The following is an 18538-nucleotide window of genomic DNA, read 5'->3' on the forward strand; positions in this document are numbered from 1 at the left end:
CCCGTCCCCTTCCCTGCCGTCCGGACCTTCCAGTGTCTCCTGGCCCCTTCCGAGGAAAACCAGAAGAGGAAAGGAGCTGGACTCCAGAGGCAGGGCTTCTCCTTGCGTCTCAGGTCCGCTCCTCTCTTGCACGCCGACGATGCCAGGTCCCCTGGAGCGCCTCATACCCGCAGACCGCAGACCTCCCGCGCTGGGGCGAGAGAGTCGTGCTCAGCCGACTCCACGTTAGAGAGCGGGGAGAGGGATCTCCACAGCCTGTAATCTGCCAGGGAACGAACAGAACAGACAAGGCTGCGGGCTCCTTAAGGAACAGGACCTAGTCTTGCCTCGTTGTGGAGGTACTTTACCTTGTTATGTTACCCCGTAACAAGGGAGTGGGGCAGAGCAGTGTACTCAAACTTGTTTGTCCACTTACTAGAAGGCGCACTTTTTCCTACTGTTATCATTGTGAACGGTGATTGAACACCTAGCAAAAATGGCAAAGAAATGTAAGAGTCCTTGCCCTCAGGCAATTTATTTCAGGAGACAAAGTAGATGAAAATAAACAGCTGATAATTCTCATGCCATATACAGATGGTCCTCGACTTACAATGGTTGACTTAAGATTTTTCAACCTTACAGATGGATTTACCCTGAGGTAGCCCCATCTTTAAGTCGAGAAGAATCTGGAAATTTTATTTTATTTTATTTTATGTTATGTTATTTATTTTTTATTTTATTTGAGACGGAGTCTCGCTCTGTCGCCCAGGCTGGAGTGCAGTGGCGCGATCTCGGCTCACTGCAAGCTCCGCCTCCCGGGTTCACGCCATTCTCCTGGCGCAGCCTCCAGAGTAGCTGGGACTACAGGCGCCCGCCACCACGCCCAGCTAATTTTTTGTATTTTTAGTACAGACGGGGTTTCACCGTGTTAGCCAGGATGGTCTCGATCTTCTGACCTTGTGATCCGCCCGCCTCGGCCTCCCAAAATGCTGGGATTACAGGCGTGAGCCACCGCGCCCGGCGCATCTGGACTTTTGTCTGACAAGTCTGAGGGAACAAATGGTAAACACTGCGTGATTGAGGAGTGCTAAGATGTATTAGGGGTCAGACTTTCAGCAACGATTTCACAAAGGAAGCTGAATTTATGCAACAGTAAGATCTTGGACTTTATCCTTCATCGTGCCTCTTCCTATGCACATACACACCCACTCCCCAGAATCAGGATTCTTTTTTTATTTAAGTTTTTTAAAATTTAGGTTGGGCGCAGTGGCTTATGCCTGTAATCTCAACACTTCGGGAGGCTGAGGCGGTCAGATCACCTGAGGTCAGGAGTTCCAGACCAGCCTGGCCAACATGGCGAAACTCCATGTCTACTAAAAAATACAAAATTAGGCTGGGCACGGTGGCTCACACCTGTAATCCCAGCACTTTGGGAGGCTGAGGCTGACGGATCACGAGGTCAAGAGACTGAGACCATCCTGGCCAACATGGTGAAACCTTGTCTCTACTAAAAACACAAAAATTAGCTGGGCATGGTGGTGTGCGCCTGTAGTCCCAGCGACTTGGGAGGCTGAGGCAGGAGAATCGCTTGAACCCGGGGGGCGGAGATTGCAGTGAGCCGAGATCGCACACTGCACTCCAGCCTGGTGACAGAGTGAGACTCTGTCTCCAAAAAAAAAAAAAAATTGCCAGCTATGTTGGTGCACGCCTGTAGTCCCAGCTACTCAGGAGGCTGAGGCATGAGAATAGCTTGAACCCGGGAGGCCGAGGTTTGCACTGAAGCGAGATCGGGCCACTGCACTCTAGCCTGGATGACAGAGTGAGACTGTCTCAACAACAACAAAAAAGCTAAAATTAATTCATTGATTATATTCAGTGTCCTCTGGTACTTTGTATTCTGTCCCTTTTTTGGTGAGGGGCCCAATAGATTGTGGACTCACCATTTAAAAAATACTACCCTAAAGCCAAAGGTTTCTGTTTGGAAATAAGCAGATAAGGTACCCATATGTGTTTATAAAGACTCTGAAGGAGAAACTAGTCAAAACCAATCAATTACTCAACAGATGAAACTTAGAACTAGCTATAGCCTAAAATTTAAAGGACTGTCTGTAAACATGTTAAACTGCGGAGAAAACCCAAATCCAAATAAAGTTACCAGGACAGTAAGAATGACATGAAAGATAACTGTAACATAATTAAATGCATTATAACACAGTGAACAATGTTGTCACATGAAGGCAATGTACTGAAAAAAAAAGGGCCACAGAGCAAGACTGTCTCAAACAAATAAACAAAATTCATGGAAAAATGGAATTAAAAGATAAGAAGAAAAAATAAACTGTATTTTTCTTTTTTTTTTTTTTGAGATGGAGTCTTGCTCTGTCACCCAGGCTGGAGTGCAGTGGCGCGATCTCTGCTCACTGCAAGCTCCACCTCCCAGGTTCACGCCATTCTCCTACCTCAACTTCCCAAGTAGCTGGGACTACAGGCACCCGCCACCACGCCCGGCTAATTTTTTTTTGTATTTTTAGTAGAGACGGGGTTTCACCGCGTTAGCCAGGACGGTCTGGATCTTCTGACCTCGGGATCCGCCCGCCTTGGCCTCCCAAAGTGCTAGGATTACAGGTGTGAGCCACTGCGCCTGGCCTGTATTTTTCAACATAAGTTCCATCAAATTCAAGACACATTTGTAAGCCATGATACCAGCCATTTAGTCCATCTCTAAAGAACTTAAAGTCTTTGGAATTTAAGCATGTCAATGCAGTCTTTTTTTTTTTTTTTTTTTTTTGAGACAGAGTCTCACTCTGTCACCCAGGCTGGAGTGCAATGGTGCGATTTTGGCTCACTGCAACCCCTGCCTCCCGGGTTCAAGAGATTTTCGTGCCTCAGCCTTCTGAGTAGCTGGGATTACAGGTGTGAGCCACCATGCCCAGCTAGTTTTGTACTTTCAGTAGAGACAGGGTTTTGCCATGTTGGCCAGGCTAGTCGAGAACTCCTGACCTCAGGCAATCCACCCGCCTCAGCCTCCCAAAGTGCTAGGATTAAAGGCGTGAGCCACTGCACCCAGCCACGATTTTTGTTGAGATTAGGAAACAAAACCAAGTCAGAAGGAGCCAAATTAGGACTGTAAGGTGGATGCCTAATGATTTCCCATTAACACTCTTGAAAAATTGCCCTTGTTTGATGAGAGGAGTGAGCAAGAGCACTGTGATGGAGAAGAGCCCTCTCTGTTGAAGCTTTCCCCGGGGCATTTTTCTGCTAAAGGTTTGCCTAACTTTCTCAAAACACTCTCAAAATAAGCAGATGTTATCATTCTTTGGCCCTTCAGAAAGTCAGCAAGAAAAATGCCTTGTGCATCTCAATTAACTGTTGCCACAACCTTTGCTCTTGACCAGTCCAACTGGACCCACTTACACCTCTTAGTAGCCATTGCTTTGATTGTGCTTTGTCTTCAGGATTGTAATGGGAAAGCTATGTTTCATCTCTTATTACAAGTCTTCAAAGAAATGCTTCAGCATCTTGATCGCATGTTTTTAAAATTTCCATTGAAAGCTCTGCTCTTATCTGTGGCTGCTTTGGGCACAGACCTCCCAAGCTAGGGCCAGATAGGTGGAAGATACTATCCATCTGCCTTTGCCTACTCAACAGACTTCAACTTAGATGGGAGAAAAATAGATTTTCCACATCCCTTACCTGCCATTGAGGAAGAGTTTTGGCACCCATTGAGTGGAAAGTTTGCCCAATTTTAATTTTTTTCAGTCAGAATTGTGTAAACTGAATCAATTGAGATGTCTATGATGTTGGCTATTGTTTTTGCTATTAATCATCAGCCTCTTCAGTTGTGGCACAAACAAGATTAATTTTTTCATTGCAAGTTGATGTAGATGGTCTGCTGCTTTGGGTTTCATCTTCAACATCTTAACCCTTCTTAAAACAAGTTATCCATTTGTAAACTGCTGATTTCGCTGGAGCATTGTCCCCATAAACTGTGTATAAAGCATCAGGAATTTCATCATTCTTCCACCTAAACTTCATCATATATTTAATGTTTGTTCTTGCTTCAATATTAGCAGAATTCCTTTGCTTTGATAGGAGCTCTTTTTTTTTTTTTTTTTTTTTTTGAGACAGAGTCTAGCTCTGTCACCCAGGCTGGAGTGCAGTGGTGCAATCTTGGCTCACTGCAAGCTCCGCCTCCAAGGTTCATGCCATCCTCCTGCCTCAGCCTCCTGAGTAGCTGGGACTACAGGCACCCGCCACCACGCCCGGCTAATTTTTTGTATATTTAGTAGAGACGGGGTTTCACCGTGTTAGCCAGGATGGTCTCGATCTCTTGACCTCGTGAGCTGCCCACCTCGGCCTCCCAAAGTGCTGGGATTACAGACATGAGCCACCGTGCCCGGCCGATAGAGCTCTTTTCAATCTGATGTCTTATCCTTTGCAGTGCCTCAAACTAGATCCTGTTCAGACATGTTATAAAAAGTTAGTATGAATGTATTTTGTTGCAAAAAAATTGAAGTCCAGGCATAGTTTTTTTCATAATATACATTTTCCATGAACTTTTTGAAGACCCATCATATATCAAAGCAGACTAGGGCTAGATTCTGCAATTAGGTGGGCCTTGGTCCAAATCTGGGCTTACTATATAATTACCCAAGTCATGAACTCTCTCTGAGCCACAGTTTCCTCATCTTTCAAATGGAGCTAATACTGTCTATAAGGTTGTTTTATAATTAACAAGATAACACATGTAAAGTTCTTGGTACATAGTAGGCTCTTAATAAACGCAAGTAATGATTATTGTAAACTAAGTAAGCTGTATCTAACTTCTATACTTTTGACCCCCAGCTAAATATAATACATAATTTCTATTATATAGCCATTCAACAAATGTTTATTGGGCACCTCTCATGTGCCAACTAGATGCTGGGAGTATAATGGTGAGCAAGATGTTCATTGTTTTTACTGTCACGGGCCTTAAAGTCCAGGGGGCTGGGAGACGAGCAGGCAACTAGAAGACAATGTGGGAAGTGCTCTAGCAGAGAAGGACACCCCTCCACACAGCCCAGACACCCAGGCAACACACAGACAGGGCCAGATGTTCTGAGAAAGAAATGCTTTGGGGCCACTTTAAAAGCTCCTGGAGGTAGGCAGAATATAACACATAAATGAACACACATACATAATGAGAGTACTCGAGTAGTGGCTGAGACCTGGCACGCAATACAGAGCAGCTCTGCCTTATCTCCAGAGCTGGTTGGCTACAAATGAGATTTGCTAGCAAACTATTCATTAAAGCAATCATATTGTGATGGAATAACCTGAGGGCCTCAGCATTTCATATGAAGGGATTTTACCTACAGTAATGGCTAAGCCAGTAGTTCTCTGTGGGACATTTGGCAATGTCTAGAGGCATTGTTTATTGTTATGACTAAGGGGAGAAAGGGTGTATTCACGGCATCTAGTGGGTAGAGGCCAGGGATGCTGCTAAATATCCTACAATGGCTTTTCACAATAAATAATTATTTGACCCCAAATATCAATAGTGCTGAGATTGAGAGCTTCTGGTCTAGAGGAACTACTAGACAAAAGCTAGAACTAGACCGGTGCAGTGCCTCATGCCTGTAATCCCAGTTCTTTGGGAGGCCAAGACAAGCGAATCACATGAGGTCAGGAGTTTGAAACCAGCCTAGCCAACATGGTTAAACCCCATCTCTACTAAAAATACAAAAATTAGCCAGGCATGGTGGCACACACCTGTAATCCTAGCTACTCAGGAGGCTAAGGTGGAGGATTGCTTGAACATGGAAAGTGGAGGCAGCAGTGAGCTAAGACTGCACCACTGCACTCCAGCCTGGGTGACAGAGCGAGACTGTCTGAAAAAAAAAAAAAAAAAATTGGAACTAAAGCAAACTATTTAATCTTCTAAAGGCATGAGGACAATAGACTGTTTCAATCTTTTGTACATGAAAGAGCTATGTATCCTCACTGGGCCTCAGTTTCCTAATCTGAGAAATGAGATTCTTGGATTAAATAATGTAGAAAGTTCTTTCCAGCTGGAAAAAATATATGAGTCGAATATACTTATAGGATTAGAATGCAGGCCGGGCATGGTGGCTCACGCCTGTAATCCCAGCACCGTGGGAGGCCAAGGTGGGAGTATCACTTCAGCTCAGGGGTTCAAGACCAGCCTGGGCAACATAGCAAAACCCCATCTCTACAAAAAATACAAAAATTAGCTGGGCATGGTGGCGCACCCTGTGGTCACAGCTACTCAGGAGCCTGAGCGGGAGGATCACTTGAGCCTGGGAGGTTGAGGCTGCAGTGAGCTGAGACTGCACCACTGTACTCCAGCCTGGGCGACAGAGTGAGACCCTGTCTCAAACAAACAAACAAAAAATCAATTAACATGGGCTACAAGATTGAGGGGGTGATAGTCAGGTCAGTCCAAGTGCTAGTCTGTCTGCACTCCCTCACCTTCCAGACTTCCTGGAGTCAAGAGCTGAGTCCTTTCATCAAAAATGCTCCTGTATGGAGCTCCCACTATGGGCAAGGCACTGTGCTAGGTGTTAGAGGAGTGCAAAGAATGAGGGGGATGGAAAAAGCAAGGATAGCTATGAGACCAACACTAATGGTAGAAAGAAGACCAATGTCAATTGAGTATGTGTCAGACACAAGGAGAGGCACTTGGCATACTTTCCTCATTAATCCTCACTGCATTTTATTATTTATGTCTATTTCTCAGGCAAGGAAACTGAAGCTCAGGAAGCTTAAGCAGGTTTTCCACAGTCAGACAACGATGATTGGTGGAGGCCAGGTAAGACCCCCGGACTGTTTGCTCCAACTCGTGAGTCTTTTCTAACTTCTACTGCCTAGGCAGTGCCAAAAGAGGGCACAAAGGGCTCTTATGGTCAAAAGGAGGGAGATAGCCCAACCTGGAGAGAAAACAAGAGAGATTTCCTGGGCAGGTAGACACGCTAATCATTCTTTTAAATACCTTCTTACTAACTCTCCTCTTCCAGCGTACAGAACCTAACACATCAGCAGATAATCTAAAACAAATCACAGCCCAGTGCAGTGGCCTTCCAAGGATGGTTCCAATTATTTTGTGATTCAGAGTTCAATCTGAGTAAATAGCACTTGAAATAAGTGGGTTTTAGCTTGGAAATATTTTTGTTGTATATTACACTTATTGTAACGGAATTTCTGCAGTAGACATAGCAAAATTCCTTGCTAACAATTGTTCCCCACAATCTGATTGTGGGAAGACAGTGAACTAATGTTTTAGAAACAAATATGAATGTCTCCATCTCATATAGTATAACTTAGGCCTAAGGTAGCTGTGATAACTTCTACTTGCAATTTTTTGTTTTAATGGAATTTCACTCTTGTTGCCCAGGCTGGAGTGCAATGGCACAATCTTGGCTTACCGCAACCTCCGCTTCCCAGGTTCAAGCGATTCTCCTGCCTCAGCCTCCTGAGTAGCTAGGATTACAGGCATATGCCACCACGCCTGGCTAATTTTGTATTTTTAGTAGAGACAGGGTTTCTCTATGTTGCTCAGGCTGGTCTCAAACTCCCTACCTCAGGTGATCCACCTGCCTCGACCTCCCAAAGTGCTGGGATTACAAGTGTGAGCCACTATGCCTGGCCTGTTTTGTTTGTTTGTTTGTTTGTTTTTTCCAGATAGGATCTCGCTCTTTCACCAAGGCTGGATGGAGTTCAGAGGTACGATCGCAGCTCACTGCAGCCTCAAACTCCTGGGCTCAACCAGTCACCCCTGCCTCAGCCTCCTGAGTTGCTAGGACTACAGGCGCACACCACCATGCCCAGCTAATTTTCTACTTGCACTTTTAATGCTTGAAAAGAGTATACTGATTTGTTTAACAGATAATTACGGAGCATATGACATGTATAGTGTGCTAGGCACATGAGGGCATACAAAGAAATCTGGCCAGGCAAATGAAACATTAAAAGCTAAATAACAGGCCAGGCATGGTGGCTCACACCTGTAATTTCAGCACTTTGGGAAGCCGAAGGGGGAAGATCACTTGAGGTTAGCAGTTCGAGACCAGCCTGGCCAACATAGTGAAACACTGTCTCCACTATAAATACAAAAAAAAAAAATAGCTGGGCATTGTGGCGGGCACCTGTAGTCCCAGCTACTCAGGAGGCTGAGGCAGAAGAATCACTTGAACCCGGGAGGTGGAGGTTGCAGTGAGCCAAGATTGCACCATTGCGCTCCAGCCTGGGTGACAGAGCGAGACGCCATCTCAAAAACAAACAAAAAGCTAAATAGCTAAATAACAATATAAAGTAATGATTCTCAGCTGGGGGTCATTTTTCCCCCAGGATTTATTTGGCCGTGTCTGAAGACATTTTTGGTTGTCACAACTGGAGGGGTGCTGGCAGCATCTAATGGTGCTGCTGAACATCCTACAATGCACTGGGTGACACCCTACAACAAAGAATGATCTAGCTCAAAATGCCAATGGTGCTGAGGTTGAGAAATCCTGACATAAGAATTACATGCTCATTGAGTAGTGCCAACTCTTGAGTGTTATAGAAGTTGAAAGCAGAAACCCAACACTATCAACTGGAGTAGTCAGGCAAGGTTTTATAGAGAAGAAAGGATTGGACTGTGTTTGAAGAAGAGCTAGGATTTAGGAAGGGAGAGGGCCCAGAGAGAACAGTCCAAGGAGGGAACATGGACAGAGTGCTGGAGGGGAGTGAGCTGGGAGGTTTCTGGGAGCAGTGAGCAGGCCGTCCTGGATGGAGCATTCTCTCCACTCCACAGCCTGAGGGGTGGGTCAGCAGGTGACATTATCTCCACATGACAGATGAGGAAACCAAGTCACAGAAAGCTTGAGAGAGCATCCTGTGATTGTCTCTGAGCTAGAGCTAGAGGCCAGTCCACCTGTTGCCCAGGCCCAGACCTTTCCCCAGTATAATCTACTTCACCTGAGCTTTGAGCCCACCCTGTGCTGATACCAGCCACCAGGAGCCAAATGAAACCGTCAGGGGCATTGCCCAGACAAAGGCTTTCTTCTACCCCAAATCCAGCAGTCCTACTCTGGAACCTCAGTGTCTGTTTATTTGAAAGGATATCCTGTAGAAACTCCAGCACACACACACACATACAGAGGCAGGTAGAAAATGGAATCATGTTCCGAAGAGCACAGACACACAGTATGGAATACCAGTTAAGAAGAGAATCTGCTGGTACAGAAGCCACGGAACAGCTTCTGGCCGGTGAGGCACAGTCACTGTGAATGGAGATGCCAGCAAGCGTGGGAGAGTGGGGGAAAGGAGGAGCGGGAGCAGATGGGTGTTCAGCATTGCCAGAGCAGGAGCAATGGGGAGAAACCTCACTGGGTGGAGTGAAGGGGTAACTGGGAACTTCCCACTCAGACACTCCGAGGAGACAGAAGAGCAAAGGCCTGTGCGCATCTGAGGAGGGAGCAGTCAAGGTCCCTAGGGAATTCTTATACAACCTCAGTTCCTGAGGGTCTGTTTTGACTGCCAGGGGTCCCTCTTCTCCATTCTACATTTAGGGACCCCAAGGTAAAGCAGCCTGGAGCATAGTCAGAAAGGGTGGAAAGGAGAATGAAAGGCAGAATAAAAGAACAAGTAACTGGAGGTGTTTTAGGCCAGAAGGGGATGGGATTTGGGGAAAGAAAGAAGTGGATTGCCAGGGGCTGCCCTGACTCCTGTGCCAAACATTGAAGAGCTGGGTGAAGTCAGTGGAGAAGGTGCAGCTGCGAAGAGACATGCAGGAGGTGGAGCCCCAAACCTGGGCCTGTCTTCCCACACCTGCCAGCCACCCATGTCCAGGGGATGGGGGTTCATGGGAGCAAGCAGGGACCGAGGCACCAGTGCTATGACTCTTCTCCCTCACCCCTCCTCATCCCAGCAGCCCTGGCCTCTAGGGCTGAAATACAGTAGTCCCCACTTATCCTCAGTTTCACTTTCTGAGGTTCAGTTACCCACGGTCAACTGAGATTCAAAAATATTAAATGGGAAATTTCAGAAAAAAAGAAAAGTTGTGAGTTTTAAGTTGCAAGCCATTACCGGGCATGGTGGCTCACTCTGGTAATCCCAGCACTTTGGGAGGCTGAGGAAGGAGGACCATTTGAGTCCAGGAGTCCGACACCAGCCTGGGCAACATAGTGAGACATTATCTCCAAAAAAAAAATTTAATTTAATTTTAAAAAATTAAATTGTATGCCATTCTGAGTAGTGGGATGATATCTCATGCCATCCCGCTGCACCTGCTGGAGAGGTGTAATCATCCCTTTGCTCAGCGTATCCACACTACTGCTACCTGCTTTAGTCACTTAGAAGCCATCCCGGTTATCAGATGGAAATAACACAGTATATGTAGGGTTCAATACTATCTGAGGTTTCAGGCATCCACTGGAGGTCTTGCAATGTATGCTCTGAGGATAAGGGGGACCACTGTAATCCAAAAGCCTGGCTGTGTTTCATCCAGCTATGCATGCTTTTCAATCTCCAGTGAGGATGAAGTTGGGGTTATGAAGAGCTGGTGCAGTGGTGGAGATCTCCGATCCAGGAAACATCTAGGCCGAGGCTATGGCAGTTCCTCCCACCTGTGCCCACAGCTGCTTCTGCCCTGGATCCCCACCAAGACACCCTTTCCCTCACCCCCAGGGAAACAGGGGGCACCAAGAGTGTGTCTTTAAGGATAGTGTGCTCACCCTCCCTCGCTTTCATTTTCAACCATTTCCTAACCTGGCCTCATAAGAAAAATGTAAGCAATGTGCAGACTGCACATTTCTCTTGCCTGAGAGGCCCTGACATTATCAGAACCACAACAAACCCTGGCCTTCACACCAACCCACTCCTGCCTCCAGCCCAGGGCTTGAAAGCAGAGGGACACAGGGTGCTGGTGCTAATGTGTGGGACCAAGGCAGGCCCCCATCCTGGTCCCTGCATTGCCTGGCCTGGAGGAGGTGCTGCTGTGGGTGATTTTCAGTCTGAAGGGTGCAAATGGGTCAGAAGTTGTTCTGGTCCATGTTCAGGAGGGCAATTGGGCCCCAAGTTCAAAAAGAACCCCACCCTCCCTCCATGTCGCCTAAGTCCCTGCCTCTTGGCAGGTCATAGGGTACAAGCAGGCTGCTGTGTTTTAGAACAGAGGGCAGGGGGCAGGGAGGTGGAACGGGGCTTCCTTCTCAAGGTGGGAGAGAGGGAGGAGAAGGGTAGGGTCCCAGCCACATGACAGGTAGTCACAGGCCCACCTCATTCCCCCAAGCCTCCCTCCATCCCCAGGCATAGCCTCCCACTTGCCTGATCAGTCCAAGGGCACATCTGAAAGTGACACCTCCCCACCCTACTTCCAGGCCTTGAGACCTTGTTGGTTCCCACAGCTGTTCTATCTCCCTCCTGCCCAACCTACTCCCTCCCAGGAGCCAATACCTGGAGAGGAATTCCCTGTGCTCCTGTTTCCACCCCTCGGTCCTCAGGGTGGTTGTGGGTGTGAGTGGGTGCCCAGGGTTTCCTGCCTGGAGACCTGGGTCTCTTGGCTGATCCCCAGGCCCTCCTGCCCTAGGCCTCCAGCCCCATCTAATTAATTACCTGAGGCCAGGAGCTGTATCCACAGCACTGCCATTCCCCACCCCTCCCCCCACCCCCGCTCAGGTGCCTCTGCAGCTCAGCCCAGAGCCACCTGTGAAGTGGGGAGGGCAGGCAACACCTCTACCCCCTTGAAGGTACAGAGGTGGGCCTGATGACCCCAGGCCATGTGAGATCTCATTGGGAGCACAGGAAGCACTCTTCACTGCTCCTTGTCACCCTTCCATTACAAGTCCCATGTGGTTTTTCACCCTATCCCACATCAGGGCTGTGGAACCCTTGACATAATCCTACCCTACCTTCCAGGCAGGCCTAAAAGTGTATATGTGTGTGGGGGGGGGGGGATATGGTGTGTGGGGGTGTGTGTGTCTGTGTTTGTGGTGTGTGGGGGGTGTGTGTGTGTATGTGTGTGGTGTGGTATGTGTGGTGTGTGTAGGGGTGTGTGTGTGTATGTGTGTGTGGGGTGTGTGTGTGTGTTATGTGGTGTGGTGTGTAGGAGTGTGTGTCTGTATGTGTGTGTAAGTGTGTGTAGGGGGTGTGTGTGTGAGAGAGAGAGAGGGAGAATGGATGCCCTAGGACTTCTTCTCCCTGCATACACTGAAAAAAGAGAAAAGGACTTCGTATCTGCAGTCTTTTTTGTTTTTGTTGTTTTGTTTTGTTTTGAGACAGAATCTCCCTCTGTTGCCCAGGCTGGCATGCAATGGCACGAACACAGCTCACTGCAGCCTCAACCTCCTGGGCTCAAGTGATCTTCCTACCTCAGTCTCCGAAGTAGCTGGGGCTACAGGGACACACCACCATTCCCAGCAATTTTAAAAACTTTTTTTTTTTTGTAGAGCCACAGTCTCACTATGTTGCCCAGGCTGGTCTTGAACTCCTGGGGTCAAGCAATCTGCCCACCTTGGCCTCCCAAAGTGCTGGGATTACAGGCGTGAGCCACTGCACCTGGCCTGTAGTCTTGACATGCTGTGAGATACTGTCCTGTTCAATTTCTAGCCAACAATATCAAAAAGGATTCTCCTCAGACTGAGAGCGGATTTAGGAAGAGGTTTAGAAAGCTTCTGTCACCACCGACCTGCAACAGAGCAAATGTCTGTGGCCCCTAGCATCCTGAGCCAGCAGGGGAGGGTCTGGGGTGGGATATGTGTGACAAGCCCACTGCATGCATAGCTACTATGCCACTGTGTCCCTGAGTGCTGGCATGGGAGCCAGGCCTGGCACCTATCCTGGCATTGGCAGGCGGGAGGAAGGAGGCCTCGTGAGCAGATGGAGGCTTCTGCAGCAGCTCTCTCTCTGCAGGGCCCCTCTGCATGAGTGTGTCAGCTTCCCCTGCCCTGGCCCTGACCCTGTCACATCTCGGCCTCAGTTTCCTAGTGGTTTACACCCTTTTTTCTGAAGATTGTCATTGCAGTGGAATATATTAAATGCTAGGTGAGGTAACCAATGAAGTAAGTTACTTAAAAGTGCTTTGAAACGTGTCAACAACTACACAAACACAAGTCATTATTCTATTTTTTTTTTTTTTTTGAGACGCAGTTTCACCCTTGTCACCCAGGCTGGAGTGCAGTGGCGCAATATTGGCTCACTACAACCTCTGCCTCCCGGGTTCAAGTGATTCTCCTGCCTCAGCCTCCTGAGTAGCTGGGATTACAGGCACCCGCCACCACACCCGGCTAATTTTTGTATTTTTAGTAGAGATGGGGTTTCACCATGTTGGCCAGTCTGGTCTCGAACTCCTGACCTCAGGTGACTTACCCACCTCGGCCTCCCAAAGAGCTGGGATTACAGGCATGAGCCACGGAGCCCAGCCAATCCATTCTCTTTCTACCACACCTACTGCTCCTTAAATGATTCATTTACTCCACCTTAACTGAGAGCACAGTGCCAGGTGGCTAATAAATCCAATCTACCAGTTGGATAGCCTAGGTTATGCTGCAGTAAGAACAGCAAAAACCTAACTCACTGGCATAACATAACAAAAATTCATTTCTCATTTACTCTGCATGTCCATTGTGGGTCAGATGGGGCTACTCTAAAACCCAGGCTGATGGAGCAATCACTATCTGGAACCGTGCCATTAGCTGTGGCAGAGGGGAAGAGAGCTCTGAAGGTCTCACAAAGTCAATAAAATGCTCCAGGCCAGCAGTGATACCATCAATTCCACTTAATCCCATTGGCCACAACTACTGTAGTCCATGGCCACACCCAATCACAAGTGACCAGGGAATACAATCCTTTCAAGTGGCCAGAAGGCAGAGAGGAGGAAAAATTTGGTGAACAGCTTTAATGTGTACCATGTGTATTACTAATTACTGTTGATGATTTAGAAGATGCAGGGCAACACTAAGTGAAAAGGGTGCTTATAAAGGGTTGCATTATTATTATTATTATTTTGAGACACAGTTTCACTCTGTCACCCAGGCTGGAGTGCAGTGGCACGATCTCGACTCACTGCAACCTCCGCCTCCCAGGTTCAAGTGATTCTTCTGCCTCAGCCTCCTGAGTAGCTGGGACTACAGGCGCATGCCACCATGCCCAGCTAATTTTTGTATTTTTAGTAGAGATGGGGTTTCACCATATTGGCCAGGCTGGTCTTGATCTCCTGACCTCGTGATCTGCCCACCTCAGCCTCCCAAAGTGCTGGGATTATAGGCGTGAGCCACCGTGCCCGACCATAAAGAGTTGCATTATTACAAAGATTAATCCCATCCAGGATCTTCAACAACCTCTTCACAGTTGCCACAGAAAGCCTTGGTTGGGTGCAGAGGCCCAGCAACTACACAGGCCCTTCAGCTGTCCTTTCTTCTAGATTCAGGAAGAGCCCACATGGTTTATAAACATAGTTCCCATTAAGTCCAGCAACAAACAGGCTGGAAATCCAACTCTTATGCCCCTTACTCCATTCCTTGGATTCATATTCTTATTGCAGCCATGCCCTAATTCCACTTCTGGGAGTAGGTGGCAGGTACCCCCCTGGACCTGAGGTTCATCATGCTGTAGGGCAAATCATGTGGGATGGAGCAGGGAGCTGTGGGAAAAGATATTCCTCCATAGTCCTGCCTGAGGCTTTGGAGTAGATCCCAGAGAGTCCCTTGGCCAAAGTTATGGGGACTAGCTGAGTGATGTGGTGAATGTCCATGAGCTTGGCAGACAGAAGCCTGGCTGAAACCCTTAGTTCCTTCCATATTAGCTATATGACCATGGACAGGCATTCTGGGTTGTTTCTTCCTCTGAAAAATGAGGATGATAGTGACTTCTGTTAACATGCTATGAGGAACAGCAGTTTATTAATATTAAGTAAACACCTGGCACATAGCAGTTGCTTCATAAAGCTATTATTACCATGATAGTTGAAGCCAAACAGCTGCCCTGAGAATTTTCATACACACTCTGCAGACATGAGCTCTGGCAGCCTGAGACTTGGTTTCACTTGACCTCGGGCTGTGTTCAGAGTGAAAGGATGAAGTATTATTGTTAATTCACTAAAACTAGTGTTTTATCTCCTAACTATTGGAATGATTTCATTGTTATTGTTTTCATTACATGTGCACACCTAACTTGCATGGATGAAATATAAGCCTAGTATGAATACAGATGTCATAATCAAAGACAAAATGGTGATTAAAAAGAAGAAATCTAGAGAAATTGTTTTGCTAAACTCTCTTACCGAAGAACCTTAAGCACATTAAAAATTAGCTTTAGGCCAGGCGCGGTAGCTCACACCTGTAATCCCAGCACTTTGAGAGGCCGAGGCGGGCGGATCAACTGAGGTCAGGAGTTCGAGACCAGCCTGACCAATATGGTGAAACCCTGTCTCTACTAAAAAATACAAAAATTAGCCGGGCGTGGTGACAGGCGCCTCTAATCCCAGCTACTCAGGAGGCTGAGGCAGGAGAATCGCTTGAACCTGGGAGGTGGAGGTTGCAGTGAGCCGAGATCGTGCCATTGCACTCCAGCCTGGGCGACAGAGCAAGACTCCATCTCAAAAAAAACAAAAATTAGCTTTAATTTTTTAGTTTTTACAACATGGCCTTAATTTTAATCTTGAGTTTGTAATTACTTTGTGTACCATGGTACAGTGGCTAATAAAAATAAGTTAAATCTGTAAACAGTCACATAAACTTTTTCAAAGCAAATTGGCTTGGATGGCTGCACCTGAATCCATGTCGGGGGGTGCTGAGACAAGACTGCCCCCTTCTGGGACTCTCCAGTACTGCAGTGACTCCTTGCTCAGGCAGGCTCTTTGCCTTCATTCACTGGAATGGGGCCCTGGTAGAACCGGGGCCATCCCTTTCTGTCTTCACAGCTGTGGGCCTCTCCATGGTGTTCAGACTGCTAGAGGACAATGGTCTTCAAGTGTCTTGGGTTTTCAGAAGCCTTTCTGGATCTCTCTTTGAGGAAAGAGGCCGCATCTACTCCTCAACATTGCCTTACATTGGTATAGGCTACCCAGTTTAAAGAACAGTTTCAGCTGGGCGTGGTGGCTCACGCCTGTAATCTCAGCACTTTGGGAGGTCAAAGTGGGCAGATCATGAGGTCAGGAGTTCATGACCAGCCTGGCTAACATGGTGTAACCCCGTCTCTACTAAAAATACAAAAATTAGCCGGACGTGGTGGGGGACATCTGTAATCCCAGCTACTCAGGAGGCTGAGGCCGAAGAATTGCTTGAACTCGGGAGGTGGACGTTGCAGTGAGCTGAGATCGGGCCACTGCACTCCAGCCTGGTCGGACAGAGCAAGAATCTGTCTGGGGGGAAAAAAAAAAAAGGAAAAAAGGACAGTTTTACACTCATTATTTCACATGTCATCATAATCCTGTGACTTAAGATGAGACACAAATGATTATCCTCCTTGTACACGGAAGAATAAAGGTTAAGAGACAGTAAGTGGCTTGCCCAAGAGCACACAGCCAGTAAATGGGAAAGAAGTTCTAGAACCCAGGCCTTTGGATATGGGGTTTGCATTCTTTCTTCCTAACCATAATAAAAATATTACCTTTATTTCCACAATATTCTATTTACTATGTGGTAGGTCAGTGATTTTCAACCTTGCTGCACACTAAAATCTCCTGGGGTTCTTAAATAACTCTCCTATCTGGGCCCCTCCTCCACCAATTACATTGAATCCGTGGGTGGAGTTCCAGACATCTGTGGGTTCATTAGCTCCTCCAGGTGTTTCTAATGTACAGCACCAAGTGCCATGTGTGGGGGCTTTATAAACACCTTCTCATTTAAACCTCCTCACAAATCCCATCAGCTAGGTATACCAGCCACGTGCTGATAGGATACGTAAATTGCCCAGCTGACCTTAGATAGCCCCTAATACCACAATTCCCAAACTGTTCACTAAGGTGTTCCAAGTCTCCACAATGGATTCACAGAGATTCCACATGATATTTGAAAAATATCAAGGAAAGTCCAGGTGTGGGGGATCACGCCTGTAATCCCAGCACTTTGGGGGGCCAAGGCGGGTGGATCACTTGAGGTCAGGAGTTCGAGACCAGCCTGCCAACATGGTGAAACCCCGTCTCTACTAAAAATACAAAAAAAAAAATTAGCCAGGTATGCTGGCAGGTGCCTGTAATCCCAGCTACTCAGGAGGGTGAAGCAGGAGAATTGCTTGAACCTGGGAGGCAGAGGTTGTAGTGAGCCGAGACCGGGCACCAAGGGAACTATTGTGTTAGCTTATGGTAGTTCACCATTTTTACAGTAGATGGCGATGCATTCCTTCTAATGACATAATATCTTTGCAAAACTGGATTTTTCAGCCTGAAAATCGGCATGGAATAGGATATCAGTGTGGTGGTGGTCAATCTGATTCCCAAGTTGGGGAAGTAGTACAGTGCCCAATAGGCATAGCTATCCCATTAGTAAGTAACTGGTAATTTAAGCAAGAAACAATTTTTTTTTCTATTTATGTGCATTATCTTTTTAAATAGCCAAGTTGTTAGGACATAAATACTTATTAAGTTGTTTGGACCTAACAATTTACTTGAAGGTAAATTTGTGGTATTTTTTTTAAAGGCATTGACACACAAAGGGCACCTTCCTAATGCCGAGGCCACATGACAAAGGGGCAGAAGTAGGATTTGATCAGTCTGACCCGAGCCCAAATATTTAACCATTTCTTTGAACTGCGCTCAATCAGTGATTTTCTTCTGTGCCCTGTCCTGGATGCCAAACCCTCAGCATTGAGTTAGGGGTCAACCTGGAAATGACAGAGCAGACATAAATTAAACACTACTGTCAAGACCATAAGTGAGCACAATGTCCTTTGACAAATTACATAACATCCCTGAATCTCAGTTTCTTCATCTGTAAAGCTGGATGACAAAATTACACTACAGGGTTGTTGTGAAGATTAAACAAGCTAAAAATCATCAAGTGTCTGGTTTAGAACAGGTACTCTGTTAAGAGTTTATTCTCTCCCTTTCTCCCCTCCTCACTTCCATGACAGACCTGAAGACATGAGGGGACACAAGTGTGCAAGTAGGTGTGAAACACACACACACACACACATGCAACCACCAGACTGCCTATACACCATCCTCAGTCTCAAACATATTGTTAATGCAGATATACTTACATGCATACATACATATATACATACAATCACAACACCTTGGCTGATTAAATAAGCACAAAAACAAATAGAACAATGAAGCAAATAAAATAAGCTCTTGAACTTGCTCTCCTTCCTCCACGTCCTCCATTGGGAGATCCTCTGCCAGCCTCAAGTATTGTGCAGGCTCAGTCAATCCACATCTGCCTACCTTCCCAGTTGCCCATTATGTCACTGTACATATGCCACTGGACCAAAGAGACACTCTAGACCTAAAAATGCCTTCCATTTCATCTCCACACATGCACACACCCCTACTATTGGTTCTCTTTTTTTTCTTCCTCGAGATGGAGTCTCACTCTGTCACCCAGGCTGGAGTGCAGTGGTGTGATCTCGGCTCACTGCAACC

At 46.8% G+C, this 18538-nt stretch overlaps 2 annotated features.

Annotated features, from left to right (window-relative positions):
• Positions 200–439: an enhancer, noted in NCBI's record as "active region_26598". NCBI's record gives its function as "activates an Ori minimal core promoter by ATAC-STARR-seq in GM12878 lymphoblastoid cells {active_cell/tissue: GM12878}" and the evidence as "EXISTENCE:reporter gene assay evidence [ECO:0000049][PMID:35858748]".
• Positions 15693–15852: a silencer, noted in NCBI's record as "silent region_18607". NCBI's record gives its function as "represses an Ori minimal core promoter by ATAC-STARR-seq in GM12878 lymphoblastoid cells {active_cell/tissue: GM12878}" and the evidence as "EXISTENCE:reporter gene assay evidence [ECO:0000049][PMID:35858748]".

The sequence above is a fragment of the Homo sapiens genome, chromosome 7 (assembly GCF_000001405.40).
Source record: "Homo sapiens chromosome 7, GRCh38.p14 Primary Assembly".
In the NCBI taxonomy this organism is placed as follows: Eukaryota; Metazoa; Chordata; class Mammalia; order Primates; family Hominidae; genus Homo; species Homo sapiens.